Source organism: Homo sapiens, chromosome 5, assembly GCF_000001405.40.
Source record: "Homo sapiens chromosome 5, GRCh38.p14 Primary Assembly".
Classification (NCBI taxonomy): domain Eukaryota; kingdom Metazoa; phylum Chordata; class Mammalia; order Primates; family Hominidae; genus Homo; species Homo sapiens.
Window position 1 is genome coordinate 91,604,113 of NC_000005.10, and position 22,242 is coordinate 91,626,354.

General features: G+C 33.9%; 1 long non-coding RNA gene across 2 annotated transcripts; it reads left to right on the forward strand.

Annotated features, from left to right (window-relative positions):
- Nucleotides 1–593: 593 nt before the first annotated feature.
- LOC107986434 (uncharacterized) lies at nucleotides 594–15,486 on the forward strand. Of its 2 annotated transcripts, XR_001742804.2 has the most exons (3): nucleotides 594–3,633; nucleotides 6,585–6,714; nucleotides 9,160–15,486. It is a non-coding gene; the product is annotated as an uncharacterized LOC107986434 (long non-coding RNA). The 2 variants fall into 2 exon arrangements; XR_007058864.1 differs by having other exon boundaries at nucleotides 594–6,714.
- Nucleotides 15,487–22,242: the final 6,756 nt, after the last annotated feature.

Sequence of the window (22,242 nt, forward strand, 5' to 3'; positions counted from 1 at the left end):
TCTTTGCATCTTTCTTGTGAATTTTTTTCTGACAATTTTATAGTTATATTGCATTATATAAATCATTTTCCACATTCCCAAATTTAAGTAAAGCAGAAAATCTTTTTAAACATATATTTTCTGGTGTCTATATATCCTCCAAGTTTTCTGATTAGTTTTAGTATTTTTTCTTTAGTGTCTTGGGGTTTCTTTCCACGCTAATATATAGTCATCAAAATGATGTATGTTTTACTTTGAATGCAATACCTGTAAAATAAGATAAAGAAGATCATTTAAAATGTATATGTCAAAACATTTTAGCTGCATTAAAAGCAGTTTTGGTGGGATATTCCACTGTGTTGTGATTCTTAGATTATATATAAAAAACGTAGCCTATGAGATAAAGGCCTGAGAGCCCCTGACAAACCATGCTGTGACAACATTTTATTTTTAATGAACCAAAAAAAATCCTACCTGTTAAAAGCCTATGCCATCTTTATCCATGTGTACCCAATGGTTAGCTCCTGCTTGTACATGAGGACATACGGTATTTGTTTTTCTGTTCCTGCATTAATTTGACCCGTGTAAGAAAGCTGTACATGTACCCCCTGAATCTAAAATAAAAGTTGAAATTATTTTTTAAAAAGCCTAGGCTTCTTCCTAAACCCCCAAACATTTTTATTTACTCAACTATGTAAATGGAATATCTAATTTGTAATACCAGGTTAAAGATAAACATAATAAATCTTATTTTTCTTTTAGTTAGGTCAATTCAGTAGTCTTTTAAGCTATATCTAGATATAGCTTGGATAATTATTGATTTAAAACAAAGCAAATAAAACTCATGAACCAACATTATGTTGGGATATAAATAAAATTTACTTCACAGTAAATTCTGTCAAATTTCACTTTTGAGTTCTTTGATATACTATATAAATTGTGTTGAAACATGTTTACCAAAGGCTAATTTATAAAAGTAATAAAAGAAAAAATGGTTGTTAGGAGGAAAAATGGCTAAATTACCATGGTGGATAAATAAAATGAAATTTGATATAATCATTAATGTAATACAGAATAATAAATAAGAATATGTAAAGATATTCCTAGCATATTGTAAAAACTAAATTATAAAATAATATGTACCACTCTTACCTCACTATGAACACATTAGATACTAGTATATATCTACATATACATATATGTAGGATGTATATGTCTGTCGCTGACTACACACATGTATAAAAGACTGGATGCATGGATAAATAGTAAGATGAAATGTCTTTTAGTTTTCTTTTTTGCTTATCTGATTTAAAAAAAATTTTTAAAGTGAACCTGTGGTGTCTTTGTATTGAATAAAAAGTCTTAAACTTTTTTTATCATCTTGTGACTCTTTAGTCACCCTTGTCACAGAAAATTCATTTCATCAGAATATCTGGCAATGTCATTACAATGATGGTTTGGGTCCTCGAATAAAGATTTCATGAAAAATGTGAAGAAAAAGATGGTCCTTTTCCCTTTTTTCTATTTAGATATTTTGAAATAGATATATTGAAGGGAGTTAGACATGTTCCACAACAATTATGAAAAAAAATCAGTCCATTAAGCTTGCCATCCTGACCTACATGATATTTCTATTGAAAGAAGTACAGTACTCAAGATAATTCCCATATAAGGCACTGAAATCAGCATTAAAGGATTTTGAATTACAGCTGATGAGCATGCAAGTCTGAAAGAAGACATTAATTTTTTTTTAAGTTCTGAATAGTGTTTAAATTTCTAAGATAAGAGCTACATTAACAGAAATTTATATATATCTTCTTTTTATTTCTCTATACATATGAACACATAGGAGAAGAGTCGAAAAAATGACCATGCACATTGTCTATTTATACTTTGGCATGATTTGCAGACATAATTACTGTTGAAGGAAGAAATAAACTCAAATATATTATTTCTCAGTCATAGTGATGTTTGAATATTTGCCTATATTTTATGCCTTATAATTACAGACAAAATAACAATGTAACACATTTGTTCTGGCCATTATATGCATGTTAAACACAGTTGCAAAACTCAAGGTATGCAAATATTTTATGGGTTATTCAAAATCACATTAGTTGTAATTTATTTAATAGTTTTTGAAGTGCAAAATTAGACATGCACATACTTTCATTTTAGGCTACTTGTTTTATCCACATCTGAATTAATTAAACTGCACTTCCCAGTAAATATCTGTAGACTGACAAAGACTGTATGAGAAAGTTATTGTGAAAAACACTTTCGGAAGATTCTTGAAACTTTCAGTCTTCTAAACTCATAGAATTTTGTCTTTAGTTAGGTCACGAATACCATTTTTGTTAAGAATAAGCCAATGTATTTGGTTTGTTTAATTGCTCCTTTTTTCAAAAGCTTTGTTATTATATTTCCTTCTTTTAAATTATAGGTCATAAAATATGTAGCCTATAAAATCATTCTCATTGGGAAAGAATTGCAGAAAAGTCATTATCTTTTGAAGATAAGTATAGTTAAAAGGTAAATTTAAGCCTTTGGACATCATATAGGTGATCACTGAGCAATGAAACTGATGTTCACATCAAAATTACTGATTGTTACCCATTCTATTTATTAAGGCAAACTCATCATTGAAAATTAAAAATAAGTTTTTGAGTTTTATAAACATAAAAAAGTTTCTTGTTAACTCCCCTATAACATTTTACATATACCTTGATGATCGCTTAAAATAGTTTGTTTAAAATAGTGTGAAGTAAAAATTCTAGTCAGTTTTAAATAGTTTGAATTAAGATTCCTGAATACTGTACCTACTGTGAAAAAAGGGAGTGAAAGGCAGAAAATTCATATTAGAGTGTTTTACATATTATCTAGGATGGAATGTAATAAACTGTTTTAAATATCCTTCTAGTTGTTATGATAGGATGTCTTTAGATAAATTTACAGAATTTATTTTATTTTACTAATTGATTGGTATATTCATCATCCACAGATATATTAGTGAAAGCTGGATTCTAAATGACTTTCCTATGATAAGCTTTCCAATTAATTCTTCTCACACTGTTTTCCTGGTGACATTTGAACTTCTTTCATTATATAAAACACATCTGGAATGATACATTGCTGAATAATAAACATGGATGCGAACATGTTAAAGATTGGACCCCTGACATAGTCAAATATGTTCTGGTTTAAAACAATGACCTCAACTAATTCTGCTTTAAGTGAATCACATTTAGAAAGAATATATAGGCATGTCTTTTTAGCCTGCCTGTCTTGTGCTAGAATTGGTCAAAGAGAGAGAAATGAAATTGTAAACTGTGTCTTCCTTGTTTGAGATGACGATAGTAAGTCATATTTTCCCTCCCATCTGCAAATATTATTTTCTTTTTCTTGTCTGATATTAAAAATACTGCAATAAGGAAATATTTAAAAAGTATTATCTAAAACATATGTTAAATCATGTATTACTTATAATTTACATCTGTTTCATAGGGCTACTAAATTTCTTCCATAGTGTATTTCATAAAGGAGAAGATGCTGATAAGATCTTGTTTAAATGGCTTGCTAATACAAGAAGCAGATCATTTTAAATGGACCTTACATCTTTATAGGATGTTAGAAATGAAGACATTACCTCAAAATGTAGGTAATTATTGCCTCCTCTTTTATCAGTGCTATTTTCTGAGGTATTATCATAAGAGAGCACTTTAGTATTAAGCAGGGCCTTAGAGTGGCAATAAATCAGTCCAACTGAGTCATCATTGTCTAAGGCATCTGAACTACTGAAATGTTGTGGATCCTACTGAGAGTGTGAAATCACTTGACCCTTGGCATTAACCTTTGCTGAATGAATAGACACTGCTTTCCACAATGAGGAACAAAGCAGAAGACTATTGATTAAACACATTCACTTGATATTAAATGCTGGCTGAACTCACTTCTTGCTTCTAGTTCCAGAGGGAGAAACCCAGAGAGTTGCTGAGTCTCAAGAGAATGGATGTTTGTAATTCAGAGCAATGTTTTTCCTAGAAAGTACTTTTTTTTCCCTCCTTTGATCAATAAATAGCACCCATGATCAGACATGAGTATATATTGTCTATTCTGACCTGTATATTTTATCACTTAAGGTGAGAGGTCACAGTGTTGTGACTAATATTTCTAAGTTCTAAGCATGAATTGTTTCCTGACTTCAATATCTATTTGAAAAAGCAATTTGTTTTATATTATTTCTTGTTTATGAATCATTATTTTGGCAATTGATTTGTCTGCAGTAGTAAAATATCTGATTTTTCTAGGATTCTTTGACTTAACCATTCTTTTTGCCGATGTTGAATTTTTACTCGACATTATTGGAAGAAATCACAGTAAAAGACAATCTTAGGATATGTGAGTTATGTTACTTGGGAAAGAAAAACATTACAGCTAAATAAATTTCTCAATTTTATAAAAGGGAAAAGCTTTGGAAGAGAGTATAGCAGTACATGTGAGCATAAAGACAATAAAAATTAAAATATTTTATAAGAAGTCCTAAGCTGATTATCTTCTGATCTACTGCATGTACCTAAACTATTGACAATAGTTTGACAGCTTCTTTATAGACCTACTTTATCCAGGAGTATAATTAAAATTAATTTAATTCATGGAACAAGAGCTAAATTTTAAAATTTTAGCCACAAATTAGAAAATCGTCTTTGTTTTAAATTTCAGTGGCTTCTATGTGCTTAACTTTATATTACTGCAATTATTTTATTGCAAGAAACTACATAAATAGCTACAAGGTCTTTCTTTTCTTTCCAAAATTTCATATTATTCTGGGCTCAGGATATTACATCAGTAAAACTCTTCGTAATTTTTTCATCACTAAAGGTTTTGACTGGCTTATGTTTAATCTTAGAATTCTAGATTAGCTAGTTGTGAATCCATCACGGTTGAGCAAAGATGATTCCTTGCTTGAATAACAGAAAACCTTCCTTCTAAGGTATAATGGTGTAATTTAATACAGTAACATCCACACAGTCTCACACACTTTGCACAATTTTTGAAAAGGAATATTAGAAGGCTGAGGGAAGTTGATAAAATGAATCATGCTGCTAAACTTAATGGTCAATCCTTTTGATTTGATGCATTCTACGGGGTGTGTAGCCCCTGAAATCTTTCTGTGAAAGCTGCTGAAGCTTGGAAAATATGGAAAACATTCTTTTAAAAGACTACTTTGGTTTTGTATCACATATTTCTTTTTCTTTATTACTAAGGACACCTGTATAGCAGCCATTTTTTGTTTTACTGTTATCTTGAGCACAGGCAGGCTATATATGCACAAGAACCTTGAAGTTTACTTTGGCACTTGGGGGTACCAATGTACAATTTATTTAACTCACATAATACAGTACAAACTAGTTTTGTGCAGGCCAAACAAAAGAAAGATAATCAGCTTACAAATACTGATATTCTAAGGTTATGCTTAATAAAAAAATTTAACGAGAATTTGTTTCTTTGAGTACCAACTAAATGTAACTATTACTTATTCTGCAGTTCATACTAGCAAACAAGTTATTTTTGTGGTATTTTAGATGTAACCAAACTCGGTAGAGAAGTGACTGTGTAAGGTCACATAGTAAGTTAGTGACATAGCTGTGATTTGAATTCATGCAGCATGTACTGGAGACCCTTTCATAATCTTTTTGATGTCTTTATGTAGATTCCAAATGGAAATTATTTTAAAATGAGGTTGGTGATCAAAATACAATGAAATTATAATTTATTGAAAACAGAAATATTGAAACTCCAAATTCAGTATTGAAAGAAGGAAGGGAAGGAGAGGAAGAAGAAGAGGAAAAGAAAGAAGAAAAAGAGAGAAAACAAAACAAAACAAAACAAAACACTTTGCTCAGTACTATAGCTCTTTAAGGAAAAGACCAAATAAGAACCTCAATTAAGACATATGCAAAAATAGTTGTTTATTGCTAACATGGGTGGGGAATTTGTAATTTTTTTAATGTTCAAACAAAGTAAGTAGATTCTCATTCAAATTTCTGCTAGAATAAATACCCCCATCCAGAGATAGTTTGGAACACACCAAGGTAAAGTGAACAGTGAATTTTTCTACTAATTACAGATGAGATCCACTAGAGTTTACTCTTGAAACTGGTATTGTTGCTGTATTAAAAACAAAGCTCCCTTTCCAAAAAGTGGTGGGTTTTTGGAAAGTCAATAAGAAAAGCTCCACAATTATTCTGCCATAAGTAGATTATTTAAAATTGAACTTTTCTGAGCAATGCTTTGACATGGTTCCCATTTATCTGACAAGTCACCAGAAACTTCTTTTTAAACAGTTTATATCTAAAAAGGACAGCTTTCAAGGTTTCCATAGCCTGAACATAACAGACTCCAGCCTGGAAGGAACCTTTTTGGGGAGAGACTTTTGTTTCCTTGAATTAGCAGAAGACTTTGAAATTGACTACACATTGTTAAATCCTTGCTTGGGATCTAGTAAAAACCTATATAGTTTATCTGACACAGTAGAGTTTATCTTTTTACATTTGTCATTCCTCATAAAAGATATCGACCAGACTTTTTGTGACTTTGACCAGCAGAAAACCTTGGCTGACATACTCAAGGCTGAAATGCAGTCAGCGGAAATGGAAACACTTCAACTCTGCCCCTGTGGCAAGAATGGCTTCCCTTCAGACAATCTGGCCAGATTCTTTATGGACCCAATGGGAGGTACATACTCGGGGCATTGCGTTTATGTTTTTCCTGACCTACCTGCTCCTTAGAGCTACATCCTAAGACTGCTGCTTGTGTAAAACCTTTCAGAACTATGCATCATTGATCTAGCCATAATCACACTGATCTGTTGGCTTTTCACTAAACTTTACTTAAGTGAAAACTAACCCTCTCCTTCCTGTTTGGGGTTATGATTGACTGTATGTCTTTTGAATGGTGTGAAGATGCTGGCTGTGAAACTGGAACACTGCTTTTTAAATGTCTTTAAAAGAAGGAAAGAAAAATGTGTACCCTCAACTACCACAGAGCAAGATAAAAGAAAATAACGACAGCATGCACTGAGTCGGCAATGTTGACCTTTAGAAATTTTTTTTAGAACATCTCAACAGTTTGAAAATGACTTTCTCTTTTATTTTTCCCAAGTTTATTCTTTTTTGAATATAAGAATTTCATAAGAGTGCATTTTAATTTATTGATGCAATTTTTCAACTATGCTACACACGTATTTATAGAGAGCCTCTTAAATATTTTTGTTTTTTAGAAAACAAACATGTCACTTTCTGCCTGAGATATAGAACTAGGATAGGTAAATAAAAAGAATAGGAAACAAGAGGCCATAAGGACATTAAAAATTGGTCAGAAAAACCAGCAAGAATACTAGCAAGGTATGGGCATGAGATCTAGTATAGAGTGTTACCAGCTCTTACTTTCCATCTCATCATGCTCCCAAATCACTTAGACTCTGTTGAGCAGGTATATATGAAGTTAAGCTTTACACACAATATGCAGGTAACAAGTTATACAAATGCATAGAAACAAAAACCATGTTAGGTGTCTTTTATGTGGGCAGCACTGGTTTCAGATGCTAAGCCTTTACTATACATGTCTATAATTTTATGACACTAGGGTAGTATAAGTACTTAGTAATATTTATGGTCCTCACTCATTTCTCCCTGCACATTCCATGCATGTAGGTAATTTTTCTACAACAAATAGCTTATTCTTTTATAAGGAATGGGAATGGAAAGGGGTAATTATCATTTAGTTGCTTGGTACTGTACTTTTATGTATGCAAGGGCAGACCTCTTGCCCCACCTTTCAAAACAGCATTCCTAAACATCACAGTGCACCCAGAGCTGCTGAACGAGGGCATGTGTGCTGACCCGAATTATTAGCACATCCATCTGTCCAGCAACACTATGAAATATTTTCCATTTTTCACATTACACATCTTTTATGTGAAAACACACACACCCATAATGGCAGCTTTAATCAACAGGGTAGCTGTGGATAAGAATTAACATTGACCATAATGATTTCCTTTCACGTGTTAATCTAATTCTAAAATTAGTAACAATAAAATAGTGTGGTTAAATAAATATTTTAAAAATCTTGATTCCTTTCCCATTTTTCTCCAGATCCTTCCTTTCTAACATTCAACCTTGTTTATAAAGGTTGTTATATAAAGAAATACTGCCTGTTGGTTATAAAAATGGTCTGGTTGCGTGTAAGTAAAGGCAGATGAGTCACTTTGCCATTATCCTAGGTGAGTTCAATAAATAGGTTAGAGATTATGCAGGAATCAAAACAGTGGCTCTAATACATCAGCCCAAATGAATTTTTTAGCAGCAGATTAGTCTGTTATGCAACAATCAACTGTGGCTCTAGCTAAGGAAACAAGTTTTATTTCATAATGCGAGGATTGACTTCTGATACCCAGAAAAGAGTGAAATAAAGAGCCTTGAGAATGTATCGTCTTAAAGTCTTCCCTGGAAAAATGACCTGGTGATTGATCACCAAAGAACTGAGGTCCCCGCACTGTTCAAGCTACCGTATTTAATGTCATTTGATTCCACTTATTTTCTGGTTTGGTAAAAAGTTTCCTTTTATGATTTTTAGAATGGTCATGATTCTCAAATCAGGTTACCAAATTTTATTAAATTGGACAATAACGCTATCTATTTAGAATTAATGTGAGGTAATGTCCTTCCTAATTTATGGTATCTATTCTAGGATTCACTTCTGGGATATATTATTGTTATGAGCATAAGAGAAAAGGGAAATGAAGTGGTTCCTGGCAAAGAAGTTACCACAATATATTCAAAATAAAGAACTATCTGATGCTTATCAACATGCTATAAGGAACTTTAGGTAGAAAAAAAAGCCTTGGGATTTTATGTGAGAGACAGCCTTTGAGATGGGTTTGGAAAGCCCATATGTTGAAAGAAAATTTTAACCTCACCCTCAAATGGCATTCTCGTCTCCTTTGAGATTTATCCGCTGAAGGGGGCCCTATACCAGATATGTAGTCCACATCTTAGCTCGTATAGCACTTTATTATAACTGCTTTCTGTGTCTTCCACTGGGCTGTGACTCAATGAAAGCAGAAAAGTTGAAAGGAAAGAGAAGTAAGTCTGACATTACTTTTAATCTCACTCTCAGAAATTGGATGCTTGTATATACCTCTCAGCATCTTTGAAGGGGCACTGAAACTTCAATCAAATTGGGGAAAGGGAGCCCTGAACTTTAGACCTGTTTTAAATGTGCAGAGGTAGGATTGAGACTTTCTTTCCTTTCTAAAATACCTCTCATGATTCTTAACTACTTTTATAGAGTCCTTGAGCCTTAAGTCTCAGCCATATTAAAATCCCTTTTTCAAAGACATTTGCTGAAGGAATAATGGCTTAGTACTAAGAAAAAACACCACAAGTTAAAAATGTACTTGGCTATAATGGAATTTATTATCATAAACTACAATTGTCAGTTAAGTTGTGTTCCTTAAGGCATTAACAGTGTTTGCCCAAAATGAGCTGATTTATCATCAGTACTAAGAAATCTTTTGTGAATTATTGTTGATGCTAAACACAGTTTTTGATTGTGATAATAGCTTGGCCTTGGAGTCCGGTTTACTTGCTTGCAAATTAGCCAGTGTTCTTTGGTGCAGGGGATGAGAAATGTGACATTGACTTTGGAATTGTGATCAATAGCTTTTGATCTAAGAATCCTTTTTCTTTTTTGCAAGTGGCAACTGGCACAAGGAACACTTTCCATCTGTAAGAAAGAATACAAAGAACTTGGAACAAGAAAAAAGTAGATATCTCATCAGTCAATGTTGCTGTATAGGTAAAGTCTGAATTTTTTTAAAAAAGCAGAAGCATCTCTATTATAAAGATTTAATAGTTGCAGGGTAGTGTAGACAGGGCTCTGTATGTTAAAGCATTAAAAACAGAAGCAAAACAACATAAAACAAAAGTGTCCCTTTAATGAGTTCAGTCTTACATGACCAAAATGTTGTTATAATTGCCCCTAGGATTCTACCTACAAAAATGGATTATTTAGTTGGGTATTGTATTAGTCCATTCTGGCACTGCTATAAAGAAATACCTGAAACTGGGTAATTTGTAAAGAAAAGAGGTTTAATTAGCTCATGCTTCTGCAGGCTGTACAGGAAACATGGCTGGGGAGGCCTCAGGAAACTTTCAATCATAATGGAAGGGGAAGCAAACACATATATGGCCGGAGCAGGAGGAAGAGAGCAAAGAGGGAAGCGTCAGACACTTTTAAAGAACCAGATCTCATGAGAACTCACTCCCTATCATGAGAACAGCAAGGGGGAAGTCTGCCTCCGTGATCCAATCACCGCCCACCAGGCCTTTCCTCCAACACTGGGGATGACATCAGATGAGGGTGAGGACACAAATCCAAACCATATCAGGGATTAAATCTTCCAGTATGATATATGATATCAGACACATCAGACACATTTCAAAAAGAAGAATGAATAAATATGAATGAGAAATTTGATATAGACTCTAGGTTGCATAAAAAGGGGTCAGATAACTTTTACAAGGATAGCTCTATATAGGTCTACCTCCAAGAAAATGAATGCATACTAATGCTCGATCCTAGTATTTGTGTTTTGTTTCATTTTAAGGGTCCCTACATGTTTTACAGATACTCACCTTTTATTTTCTGTTTTCTATGCAATCTATAATTTATTGCATTCTAAATATTTTTTCATTTCTATTTTCTTATCTTTAAAATAAACTTCTTTCTTTCCTTGGGGATAAGCCACTAGCTATTAAGGGAACATTCTTGATTTATTATAGATAGGTTGAATAAAGTTTTCATAAAGTATCTTATTCACGTAATAGAATTTACCAATATGAAAGTCTTTTGACTATAACTCTAGCACTTTCTCATTAACCTATGCCTTCAGTACAGCAAAGGATATGCATTTGTTTGAGGATTTGTGTTTTAGATGCAGACTGATTAAATAGAGATACAGTTTGTTAATGAAATAATGTATATAGACACCATGCCCAGCACTTGTTGGACATTATATCATTAGTCCTTATAATAAGCTGCAGAGCCAAATATGATATCCAAACTCTTCTCTCCATTTGCAGAGGACTAAACTGAGACTCTAATTCAAAGATGTAAAGTAAAATTCCCAAGATTACGAAGCTAATGAGTGACAAACTGACATTATAATTTCAAAGTAATTCCACTCTTAGTTACATTACATTGCCTCCCTCTCAGTTTTTATCATCAAGATAAATGTTTGTTTCATAAGTAGAGTCTATGTTTATGTTTTATGTTGACATTTTCTTACTCTGCATATAGTAATAAGAGTATTAGTGGGAAACAGAGAGAAGAAATGTTTTTTAATTTCTCGAGTTGGAACATGTTGTTTACTTAGGCCTTTGGTCAAACCATAGTTTATCATCTGTATTAGTATGTTCTCATGCTGCTATAAGGACATACCTGAGACTAGGTAATTTATAAAGAAAAGAGGTTTAAGTGACTCCCAGTTCCATAGCGCTGGAGAGGGCTCAGGAAACTTATAATCATGGCAAAAGGGGAAGCAAACATGTCCTTCTTCACATGGTGGGAGGAAGGAGAAGAATGAGAGCCAAGTGAAGGGGGAAGCCCCTTATAAAACCATCAGATCATGTGAGAACTTACTCACTATTACAAGAGTAGCATGGGGGAAACCGCCCCCATGATTCAGTTACTTCCCACTGGGTTCCTCCCACAACATGTGGGGATTATGGGAACTACAATTTGAGATGAGATTTGGGTGCGGACACAGCCAAACCATATCATCTTCTTTTCTTATTTTATTAAAAATGTCCTTTCTGTAGCATTCTGAGCTTTGAGTCTGTATCTTGTTATTACAGAGAGTAGCTAAATGAATAATTATTAGCACCCTTTTAATAATGTACTCCTATGTAATTGAAGAAAAATTATTGTATAAAGCTAATATATATTAAGATTTATTTTGATTTTCTTTAATTAAAAAAATCAATTCTTAGTATAAAAGGTACACCATTGAGCTAATTTGATTTGAGTAATGATATCTGTTTTAAGAGAAAAATGAGAAAAATAACAAATCTATTGTTAGTAACACCATTACTTTTATACCTGAACATACTTTCTCCAGATCTTTATTTTCTTGTCTATCACCATTTGTCCATTAGGCAAATTTTCACGATATTGACTTTTCTAATTTAAAAATATCCTTGTATTTTTTCTGTTTATTCTACTGAAATAAATAATGTCACAATGATGTTCTATCATTTCACCCACAAGAGAAAAATATTGTGAAATTTTAATGAACAGTAATTAATTCATTCAATATCTGAGTAGCTACTACTATGTGTCAGGCACTGATATGGCCCTGTGAATATAATAGTGAACCCAATAGACAAAGAGTCCTGCTCTCAAGGAAGTTATATGACAATAAACAAGATTGATAACTAAAAAATATGGTGATATGGTGTAATACATAGTAATAAGTGCTAAGAAAATAATAATGTAGAAAAGGGGCAAAGAGAATATTGGGGACAGTATGTTTTAGATAAGGTGGCCAAGGAAGGCCTAATGAGATGATGTCATTTGAGTAGAGACCTGGATGAAGTGAGGTAGCAAATCACAACTTTCTAAAATTACATATAAAATATCCTTTATGCAGTTATGTATTTGGCATTATGTAGCTATTATATTGACATTAGTGTTAAAGTGTCTTTCTAGTAGCCCAATTTTAATAATTGTTTCAACAAGACTGTGTGTGTATTGTCCTTTAGGCTCTATTATTCCTTTATGAATGCCAGAAGACTTCTGAAGCAACTGCTCAAGTCATTTAGGAAAAGTAATATCCTTGGCTAAAAGTAGTATTCCACTTATTGGCTACAGAATGTTGAGATATAAGACAGAATCCCTATCTATAGGTTTATTCTCCTATTAAAGAAATGAATAATGCTGGGAGACTAGAGAACCCCTCTTTTCTCCAAAGGAGACAGTCCCTAAATCTCTTCTTATCGCATCAAATTTTAAGCCTAGGATTTCTAGGTGATGAATACTTTTCTTCAAATTTTTTTCCCCATGACTGATCTACCTAAAACCAAAACTGATCTGTTCCCTACATGCCCGATACACAGTGGTAAAGACAAATCAGATATACAATTTGACTGAAAATTCTTTATTTAAAGCATGGTGATATATATATGTATGTCAGTTTTAATATATATTTTATGGTAATCGGTTAACATTTGAAGCACTCTATTTGGCATTGTCTCTGCTAGAACTCACTCCCACTCCTGCAGCTATGATAAGCCCTTCAATTATCTTTATCTCACCACCAACAAAGGATGTATTAATTAAGATAATCGACTTTAGAAATGATTATTCATTCGTGAAATAAGTGATGTTTAAGATATGTGCACTTTCGAGAAATGTTACACACTCACCTCTGGCCTTGCATGAACAGGGTCTAAGAATCTAGTGGCCTCAGTAGTATATTCCTTTTAATTTGTTTCCACTTCCCTTCAGAATGGCATTGTAAGCCCTGGATTCTGTATAGTCCTATGTTTAGACATACATGGTGGAGCTCATTGACTTAATCCAACTAGCAGTATACAGAATCCTAGAATATTTATTCATTTATTTCTGCTAGAATATTTATTTATTTATTTCCATTGATCCTTTCATGCATGGTTTGGCCAGAACATCTAAAAGGAATGAGAACGAAAACTTCATTGCCTTTACAGAAACGGTTGTAAAAAAAAAAAAAAGTACATACTAAAATACATGTTTGGCAGAATTTGATCTCAGTCTTGCACAGTTGTGAGAGATGAACATTTAGTTCTTATGTACTTATAGCCAATGGAGGCCAAAGAAACTTAACAAAAAGAATCTAACAATTGTGAATGACCACATTGGCTTAAGTCAGTGCACAATTACTACATTAAAAAAGTCCCAATTCAAAAGGAGACAAGGGAAACACACAGCAGTCACTGGTTCGTAACAAAAATCAAGATGGTAAATATAGAAGAGGTTGTAAATATAAAACTATTGTAAAATTTTAAAATTGTTAAAAAAAAGAAGGCTTGGCAGTAGATGAAACTATGCCCTATGCATTGTCAAGCACATTCCTTTAAAAGTGCTTGGAAAAGAGCAGGGAGGCTTCTTGTTCTAGTAGGTCCTGCTTTGTGTGAGGAGCTTGATGCTTATGATGGCCACATCTGAGTTTTGGAGAGTGTGTCCCCTGGGTGGTTGTGCATCTTTCATCCCACTTCCTACTGCTGCAGATCTGGAGGCCTGTGGATTCCTTTACAGAGTGCACAGTTGCAAGCAGTTCTTTGCTATCTTGTTTGTTTAGTAGTTCAGTTCCCTACAAACTTGAATAAGAAATCAGTATGTTTCTACCTGTTAGGACACAAAGCTAAAGATCTTGTTTGGATGTTGTTTTAAACCTGATAAATTTGGCTCTCGGGAGTTGGCTTCTATGCTCTGACCTTCTTTTCTCCCTTTTTTAAGGAGCCACAACCTTGAAGCCAATTGGGACAATAGGATGTTGTGGCAAGACCCTCACCTAATCTTTGCTGGGCTGGGCTTGCTCCCGTTGTTCAGCAGAGTGCTTTTAAAAGAATGTGTTTGATAACACTTAGGGCATAGTTAGTCTTACCTACTGCTAAGCGTGCCTTTTTTAAAATAACAATTTTAAAATTTTATAATAGTTTTATATTTGCAGAAAAATTATGGAGATAGCACAGAGTTCCCATATATCCCGTGCCCAGTTTTCTTTATTATTAAATTCTTACATTAGCATGGTACATTTGTTACAGTTAATGAACAAATATCTATATGATGTTATTAACTAAAGTCTATATTGTATTCAAATTTCCTCTTTCTGTTCCAGCTGTAATTCAGGGTGTCACAATATGTTTAGTCATCGTGTCTCCTTGGGCTCCTTATGGCTGTGACACTCTCTAAGACTTTTCTGGCTTTTGATGTCCATAACAGTTTTGAGGAATACTGGTCAGGTATTTTGTAGCATGTCCCTCACCTGAGAATTCTGATTTTTTTTTCATGATTAAGCTGATGATATATGTTTTTGGGAGGCAGATCAGAAAGGTAAAGTCCCAGTTACATTACATCATATCACATCAAGAGTATGTACAATTGTTAAAAAAAGTTTTCATTGGGAGGCCAGCTCCACCACCTTGAATTCTTAGGTAAGCAAATGTAAGCCCAGTGTAAACAGTAAAACCAAACTTAAATTTTACCAATCAGAAACTACCAACTATCTTCTAACTAGGGACATCCCACTTTAACCAGTCAAATTTCTTTGTCTTGATTATACCTTGTAAAATTTTTCTGTCTCTTGCTTCCCTCTCCTCCAAGTGGAGCATAGAACTGCCTATGGCCTGGTGCTGCCTGATTCGTGAATCACTGAATGTTCAAATAAACTCATTGACATTTTAATGTGCCTGAGTTTATCTTTTAATGTTATCAATATGAGTTATCACTGTTGAAGTTCACCTTAGTCACCTGGTTGAGGTGGTGTTTGTCTTATTTCTTCACTGTAAAGTTACTCTACTGTCCACTTGCTTTTTTTTTTTTTTTTAACTGCATCCTTTGGAAGAAAGTTATTATGCACAGCTCACATTTAAGGAATGGGGAGCATCAAAAAGTGGGCAAAGGATATGAACAGACACTTTTCAAAAGAAGACATTTATGCAGCCAACAGACACATGAAAAAATGCTCATCATCACTTGTCATCAGAGAAATGCAAATCAAAACTACAATGACATACCATCTCACACCAGTTAGAATGATGATCATTAAAAAGTCAGGAAACAACAGGTGCTGGAGAGGATGTGGAGAAATAAGAACGCTTTTACACTGTTGGTGGGAGTGTAAACTAGTTCAACCATTGTGGAAGACAGTGTGGCAATTCCTCAAGGATCTGGAACTAGAAATACCTTTTGACCCAGCCATCCCATTACTGGGTATATATCCAAAGGATTATAAATCATGCTACTATAAAGACACATGCACACGTATGTTTATTGTGGCACTATTCACAATAGCAAAGGCTTGCACCAACCCAAATGTCCATCAATAATAGACTGGATTAAGAAAATGTGGCACATATACACTATGGAATACTATGCAGCCATAAAAAAGGATGAGTTCATGTCCTTTGTAGGGACATGGATGAAGCCGGAAACCATCATTCTGAGCAAACTATCACAAGGACAGAAAACCAAACACCGCATGTTCTCACTTATAGGTGGGAATTGAACAATGAGAACACCTGGACACACGGTGGGTACATCACACACTGGGGCCTGTCGTGGGATGAGGGGCTGGGGGAGGGATAGCATTAGGAGAAATACCTAATGTAAATGACGAGTTAATGGGTGCAGCAAACCAACATGGCACATGTACACATATGTAACCTGCACGTTGTGCACATGTACCCTAGAACTTAAAGTATATATATATATATATATATATATATATATATATATATATATAGCAATGGGGAGTTATGCTTCACCCTTATAAAAGTATCTACATGAGTTATTTGGAATTATTCTGCATGGGAAATTTGTTTAATCTATTTATTGAATCATTTATATCAGTATATTTATTTTACATTTTGTGTTATAATCCAGTACTACTTTATTTATTATAGTACTTGAATTGCTCCAGCTTTGGCTTTGGAAGCTCTTTCAGTTGGCTCTTGTGTCCCTTTGAGATACCTGAATCATCGTGGGATTTTCTTTTTGAACACTTTTTTACTTTCTGGTACTACAAGATGCTCCACACTCATCTATTTCTTGGCCTGTCATGGAAACAGCTATGTTTCCAAGGAGCCCTGGTTCCTTTTAGTGGAAGATGATAGTAGAAACTAAGACCTTGGCAATAGGTATGCTCATTGCTACTGATCTGTTCTTGCTTCCAGATCCTCTTTCTTGACAAAGCAAGGAAATACATGTGTGTACACTAATCATGTATACACTATCTATGAACATTTCTATATGTAACCCTCTGTATCTGTATTTAGTTAAACATGAGTTCATACTGATGTCTGTAACTTTAATCCATTACAATCTGGGTCATTTTAGCCCTGTCTTCTCTGAAACCTCCCACTACTACAATGAGAAGCCTAGATCCCCTCATCTGCCATTCATTTAGTTAATTAATTATTGATTTCCACTATACAGGTATTGTGATATCTGAGCTGTAAACATGTATCCCCTTAGGAAAAACCTTACCAACTATATTGTGGTGCTTATGTATTATTTCTGTTTATCTTTAGTCTTATAGATACCACTCATTTCCAAAGTCACTTAGATCAGGATCCTTTCCCCCAAATTCTTCAGTGAGGTAGTTTCATACATTTGTAGTACATTCTGCATTCCGTTTGTACATTCTGCATTCCATTCTTGGGTCCCTTGAATTCTTAACATTTTTTAAAAATACTCATATGTTAGGGTTCAAAACTCCATATATTAGGTTTGTGTTATACATTTTATGGTTTGGACAAGTGGATAGTGTCATGTATCCACCCCTATGGTGACATACAGATTAATTTTACTGCCCTAAAATATCTCCTGTGCTTCACCTATTCAACCCCCTCTCCTCAAACCTTTGGAAATTACTGATCTTTTTACTGACTTTATAGCCTTGCTATTTCCGAATGCCATGTAATATCAGACTGTTTTTTTTTTGGCTTTTTTCTTTCACTAGTAATATGTGTTTCAGATTCATCTATATCTTTTAGTGACTTAAAAGCTGATTTGTTGCCTATCAATGATAAAGTGGATAAAGAAAATGTGGTACATATACACCATGGAATACTATGCAGCCACAAAAAAAAAAGAATGAGATCATGTCCTTTGCAGGAATGTGGATGGAGCTGGAGGCCATTATCCTTAGCAAATTAATGCAGGAACAGAAAACCAAATACTGCATGTTCTCACTTATAAGTGGGAGCTAAATGGTGAGAACACATGGACACATAGAGGGGAACAACACACACTGGGGCCCACGAGAGGGTGGACACTACAAGGAGGGAAAGAAACAGGAAATGCAGCTAATAAGTACTAGGCTTGATACCTGGGTGATGAAATAATCTGTATAACCAACCCCCATGACACATGTTCGCCAGTGTAACAAACCTGCACAGCCTGCACATGTACCCCTGAACATAAAAGTTAAAAATAAAAAAGCTCATTTTTTTTTTTACTGATTAATATTCTATTTTATTTATGTACCATTGTTTATCCATTTGCCTATTGAAGGACATATTAGTTGCTTTCAGGTTTTGGCAATTATGAATAGAGTTGCTATATATGTTTGTGTGCTGGTTTTTGTGGACATAAATTTTCAAATTATTTGGGTAAATATTTCAATTGCTAGATTGTATGGTAAGACTCTTTTTAACGTTGTAAGAAATTGCCAAACTGCCTTCTAAAGTGGCTTTACCATTATGCATATTTGCCAGCAGGGAATGAGAGGTCTTGTGGCTCCTCATCAGCCACTGATATTGTCAGATTTTTGGATTTTAGGCATTCTAAAACTGTGTAGTGGTATCTCATTATATTAATTTGTAATTCTCTCTGATGACAAATTATGGTGAGAAATTTTCATAAGTTTGTTTATTATCTGTTTATCTCCTGTGGTGAGATGTGTGTCTATTCAGATCTTTTCACCATTTTTAAATAGGGTTGTTTCATTTTTGTTGAGTTTTAAAAGATTATTTCGTATTTTGAACACAAGTTCTTTATCCGACATGTTTCAAAAATATTCTCTCCTAGTTTGTTGCTTGTCTTTCCATTTTCTTAACAGTGTCTTTTGCAGAGCACAAGTATTTAATTTTAATAAAGCTACATTTATCAATTTTTCTTTTATAAATTGTGTTTTTGGTGTCATATCTAAAAACTCACTACCAAACCCATGATCACATAGATTTTCTCCTATGTTATCTTCTGGAAGTTTATAATTTTCATTTAAAATTTAGCTGTGTAAACCTTTTTAAAATGCATTTTTGTGTTAGGTGGAAGATTTGTGTCTAGGGTTATTTATTTATTTATTTTTGCATATGTACATCTATTTTTTAGCACCATTTGTTGAAAAGACTATCCTTTCTCCATAGAATTGTCTTTGCTTCTTTGTCAAATATCAGTTGACTACACTTGTGTTTATCTATTTCTGGACTCTCTATTCTGTTCTCTTAATGTTTGTGTCTATTTTTTCAACTATGTCACTGTATCCTAGTTATTGTGACCTTAGTAAGTCTTGAAATAAGGTGTGTGAGTCTTTTATCTTTGTTCTTCTTCAGTATTATGTTGTCTAATCTAGATCTATTGCCTTTCCATATAAACTTTAGAATCAATTTGTCAATGTTCACAAAATAATGTGCTTGTATTTTGATTTGAATTGTGTTGAGCCTATAGACCAACTTATAAAAAATTGACATCTTGGCTATTATTAAAAAGTCAAAAATTAATAGATGCTGGCAAAGTTGCAGAGAAAAGGGAATATTTACATACTGCTGGTGGGAATGTAAATTAGTTCAGTGAGTATGGAAAACAGTTAGAGATTTCTCAAGGGACTTGAAACAGAACTACCATTACTGGGTATATACCCAAAGGAATATAAATTATTTTACCACAAAGACACATGCACATGGATGTTCATTGCAGCACTATTCACAGTATCAAAGACATAGAATCAACCTATATGACTATCAATGGTGAACTAGATAAAGAAAATGTAGTACATATACACCATGAAATACTATGCAGCTATAAAAAAGAATGAGATTATGTCCTTTGCAGCAACATGGATGGGGCTGGAGGTCATTATCCTAGCAAATTAATGCAGGAACAGAAAACTAAATACTGCATGTTCTCACTTATAAATTGGAGCTAAACTTCAAGTACACATGGACACAAAGAAGAAAACAACAGAAACCAGGGACTACTTGAGGGAAGAAGGAAGGAAGAGGGAGAGGATCAAAAAACTACCTATTGGATACTACACTTAGTATCTAACTGATGAAATAATCTGTACACCAAACCTCCATAACATGCAGTTTACTCATGTAACAAACATGCATATATACCCCCTGAACCTAAAACAAAAGTTAGAAAGAAATAAAAATTGACATCTTGATAATATGAAGCCTTCCTATCCATGAACACAGACTATCTCTTTATTTAGATCTTTAATTTCTTTTATCAGTGTTTTGTATTTTCCTCATATACATATTGTACATACTTTAGTAGATTTATACCTAAGTATTTCTCTTTTTTTAGTGCAAATGTAATGGTATTGTGTTTTACATTTTATATTCCAATTGTTTATTACTGGCATAAAATAAAGCTTTTGACTTTCATGTACTCAACTTGTATCCTGCAATCTTACTATAATCACTTATTAGTTCCAAGAGTCTGTTGATATTTTTTGGAATTTTCTACGTAGAAAATAATTTTGTCTGTGAACAAAGACAGGTTTATTTCTTCCTTCTCAATCTGTATGCCTTTTATTTCCTTTTCTTGTCTTACTACATTAGCTAGGACTTTGAGTATGATATTGAATAGGAATGGTGAGAGCAGCATCTTTGCTTTGTTTCTGACCTTAGTGGGAAAACATCTAGTTTTTCACCATTAGATATGATGTTAGCTACAGGCTTTTCCCAGATATTCTTTATCAAGATGCGGAAGTCTCACTCTGTTCTTAGTTTGCTAAGGGTTTTCTTTTTATCATGAGGTATAGCTTTCTACTATATTTCTATAATACTTTCTATAAGAGTATTTTTACTCTTAGGTAAAGTAGGGAGGCTAGCAGGGCTGGAATGGGAGAAATGGCCTTCCTTCCAGCTGTGATAAGGCTCAGGTAGTCTTTTCCCTGGGAAAGTAGGTATTGGTAATGCAGAATGCCTCAGCCATATTTCAAAATAATTACTCATTCCTTCCTCCTGCCAGAGCCATGTGAAATTTTTTTCAAAATTTTTACCTTGAGAATCCAGTAAGATTCCTGGAAATAAAACCCAGGAAACTCTCAGAGTTTTCCTGACTCGCGTGTTAATTCACACTCAAAATCCCTCAATTCATCAAAATTGCCACTTAAGTTTCCTACCAGCTTATACTCCAGTGACTTCTGCTCCAGATCTTGTGTAACTTTCTGGAATCTCTTGTCTCTCCGAATTTGGAGTGGCAGTTTTTCCTGTAACTGTTCTCTGGTAGGTCTAAGAAGTCACTGACTGGAAGTCTAAGCCTGATATTTTTAAGTCATTCTATTTGGAGTACAGGAACAACTGCTTTTGTGATCTTGTACATCTCCAAAGTAAGAAAAACTTCAGTTTATGTAGATTTTCTAGGAGGGCAGTTGCTATGGTCTGAATGTTTGTGTCCCCCTCAAATTTATATGTTGACATTCTAACCCCCAAGGTGACAGTATTAGGAGGTGGGGCTTTTGGAAGGTGATTAGGTTATATAGGTAGAGCCCTCACGAATGGGATTGATGTCTTTATAAAAGAGGCCAGGAAAGACCCCACACCCTTTCACATGTGAGAAGGAGCCATCTATAAACTAGGAACAGGCCCTCACCAGACACTAAGTCTATTGATGCTCTTATCTTGGGATTCCCAGCCTCTAGAATTGTGAGAAATAATTTTCTGCTTTTATAAAAACTACTCAGCTTATGGTCTTTTGTTACAGCAGCCTGACTAGACTAAGACAGCAGTTTTCTTAGCAAAATGGTATATCTTAACATCTCTGCTTGCAGACTGATTAGCTCCTTTGGTTCTCTCTTACAGGACTTTGTGAAGAGCTGCAAGAATGTGCTTGCATGTACTAACATTCTAAAATTTCCCCACCATTTCCTCTTTCTCTGCATAATTGGTTTGTATGTAGACTGATTTTAAGGTACAGGAGCTGTTAACTTGACAAAACTTTTTTTGCTACCACACATCAAGGGTCATGTGCCATATCTGAGTCCTTGTATCTACATTTTATTTTCTTGTTTTAGAGTTTTTTACTTGCAGCCTACCACTTCTAAGCATCAAGGTGTATGTATATCAATTACAGATTGATTTTGGCTGCATGTAACAGATACCAGAGGAAATTATCTTAAGCTGGATTTGAGTAAGATATGAGTTTATTTTGCTCTGTTGCTGAGAAATGTAGAGATAAGAGTCAAGGACTCTGAGGAACTTCATA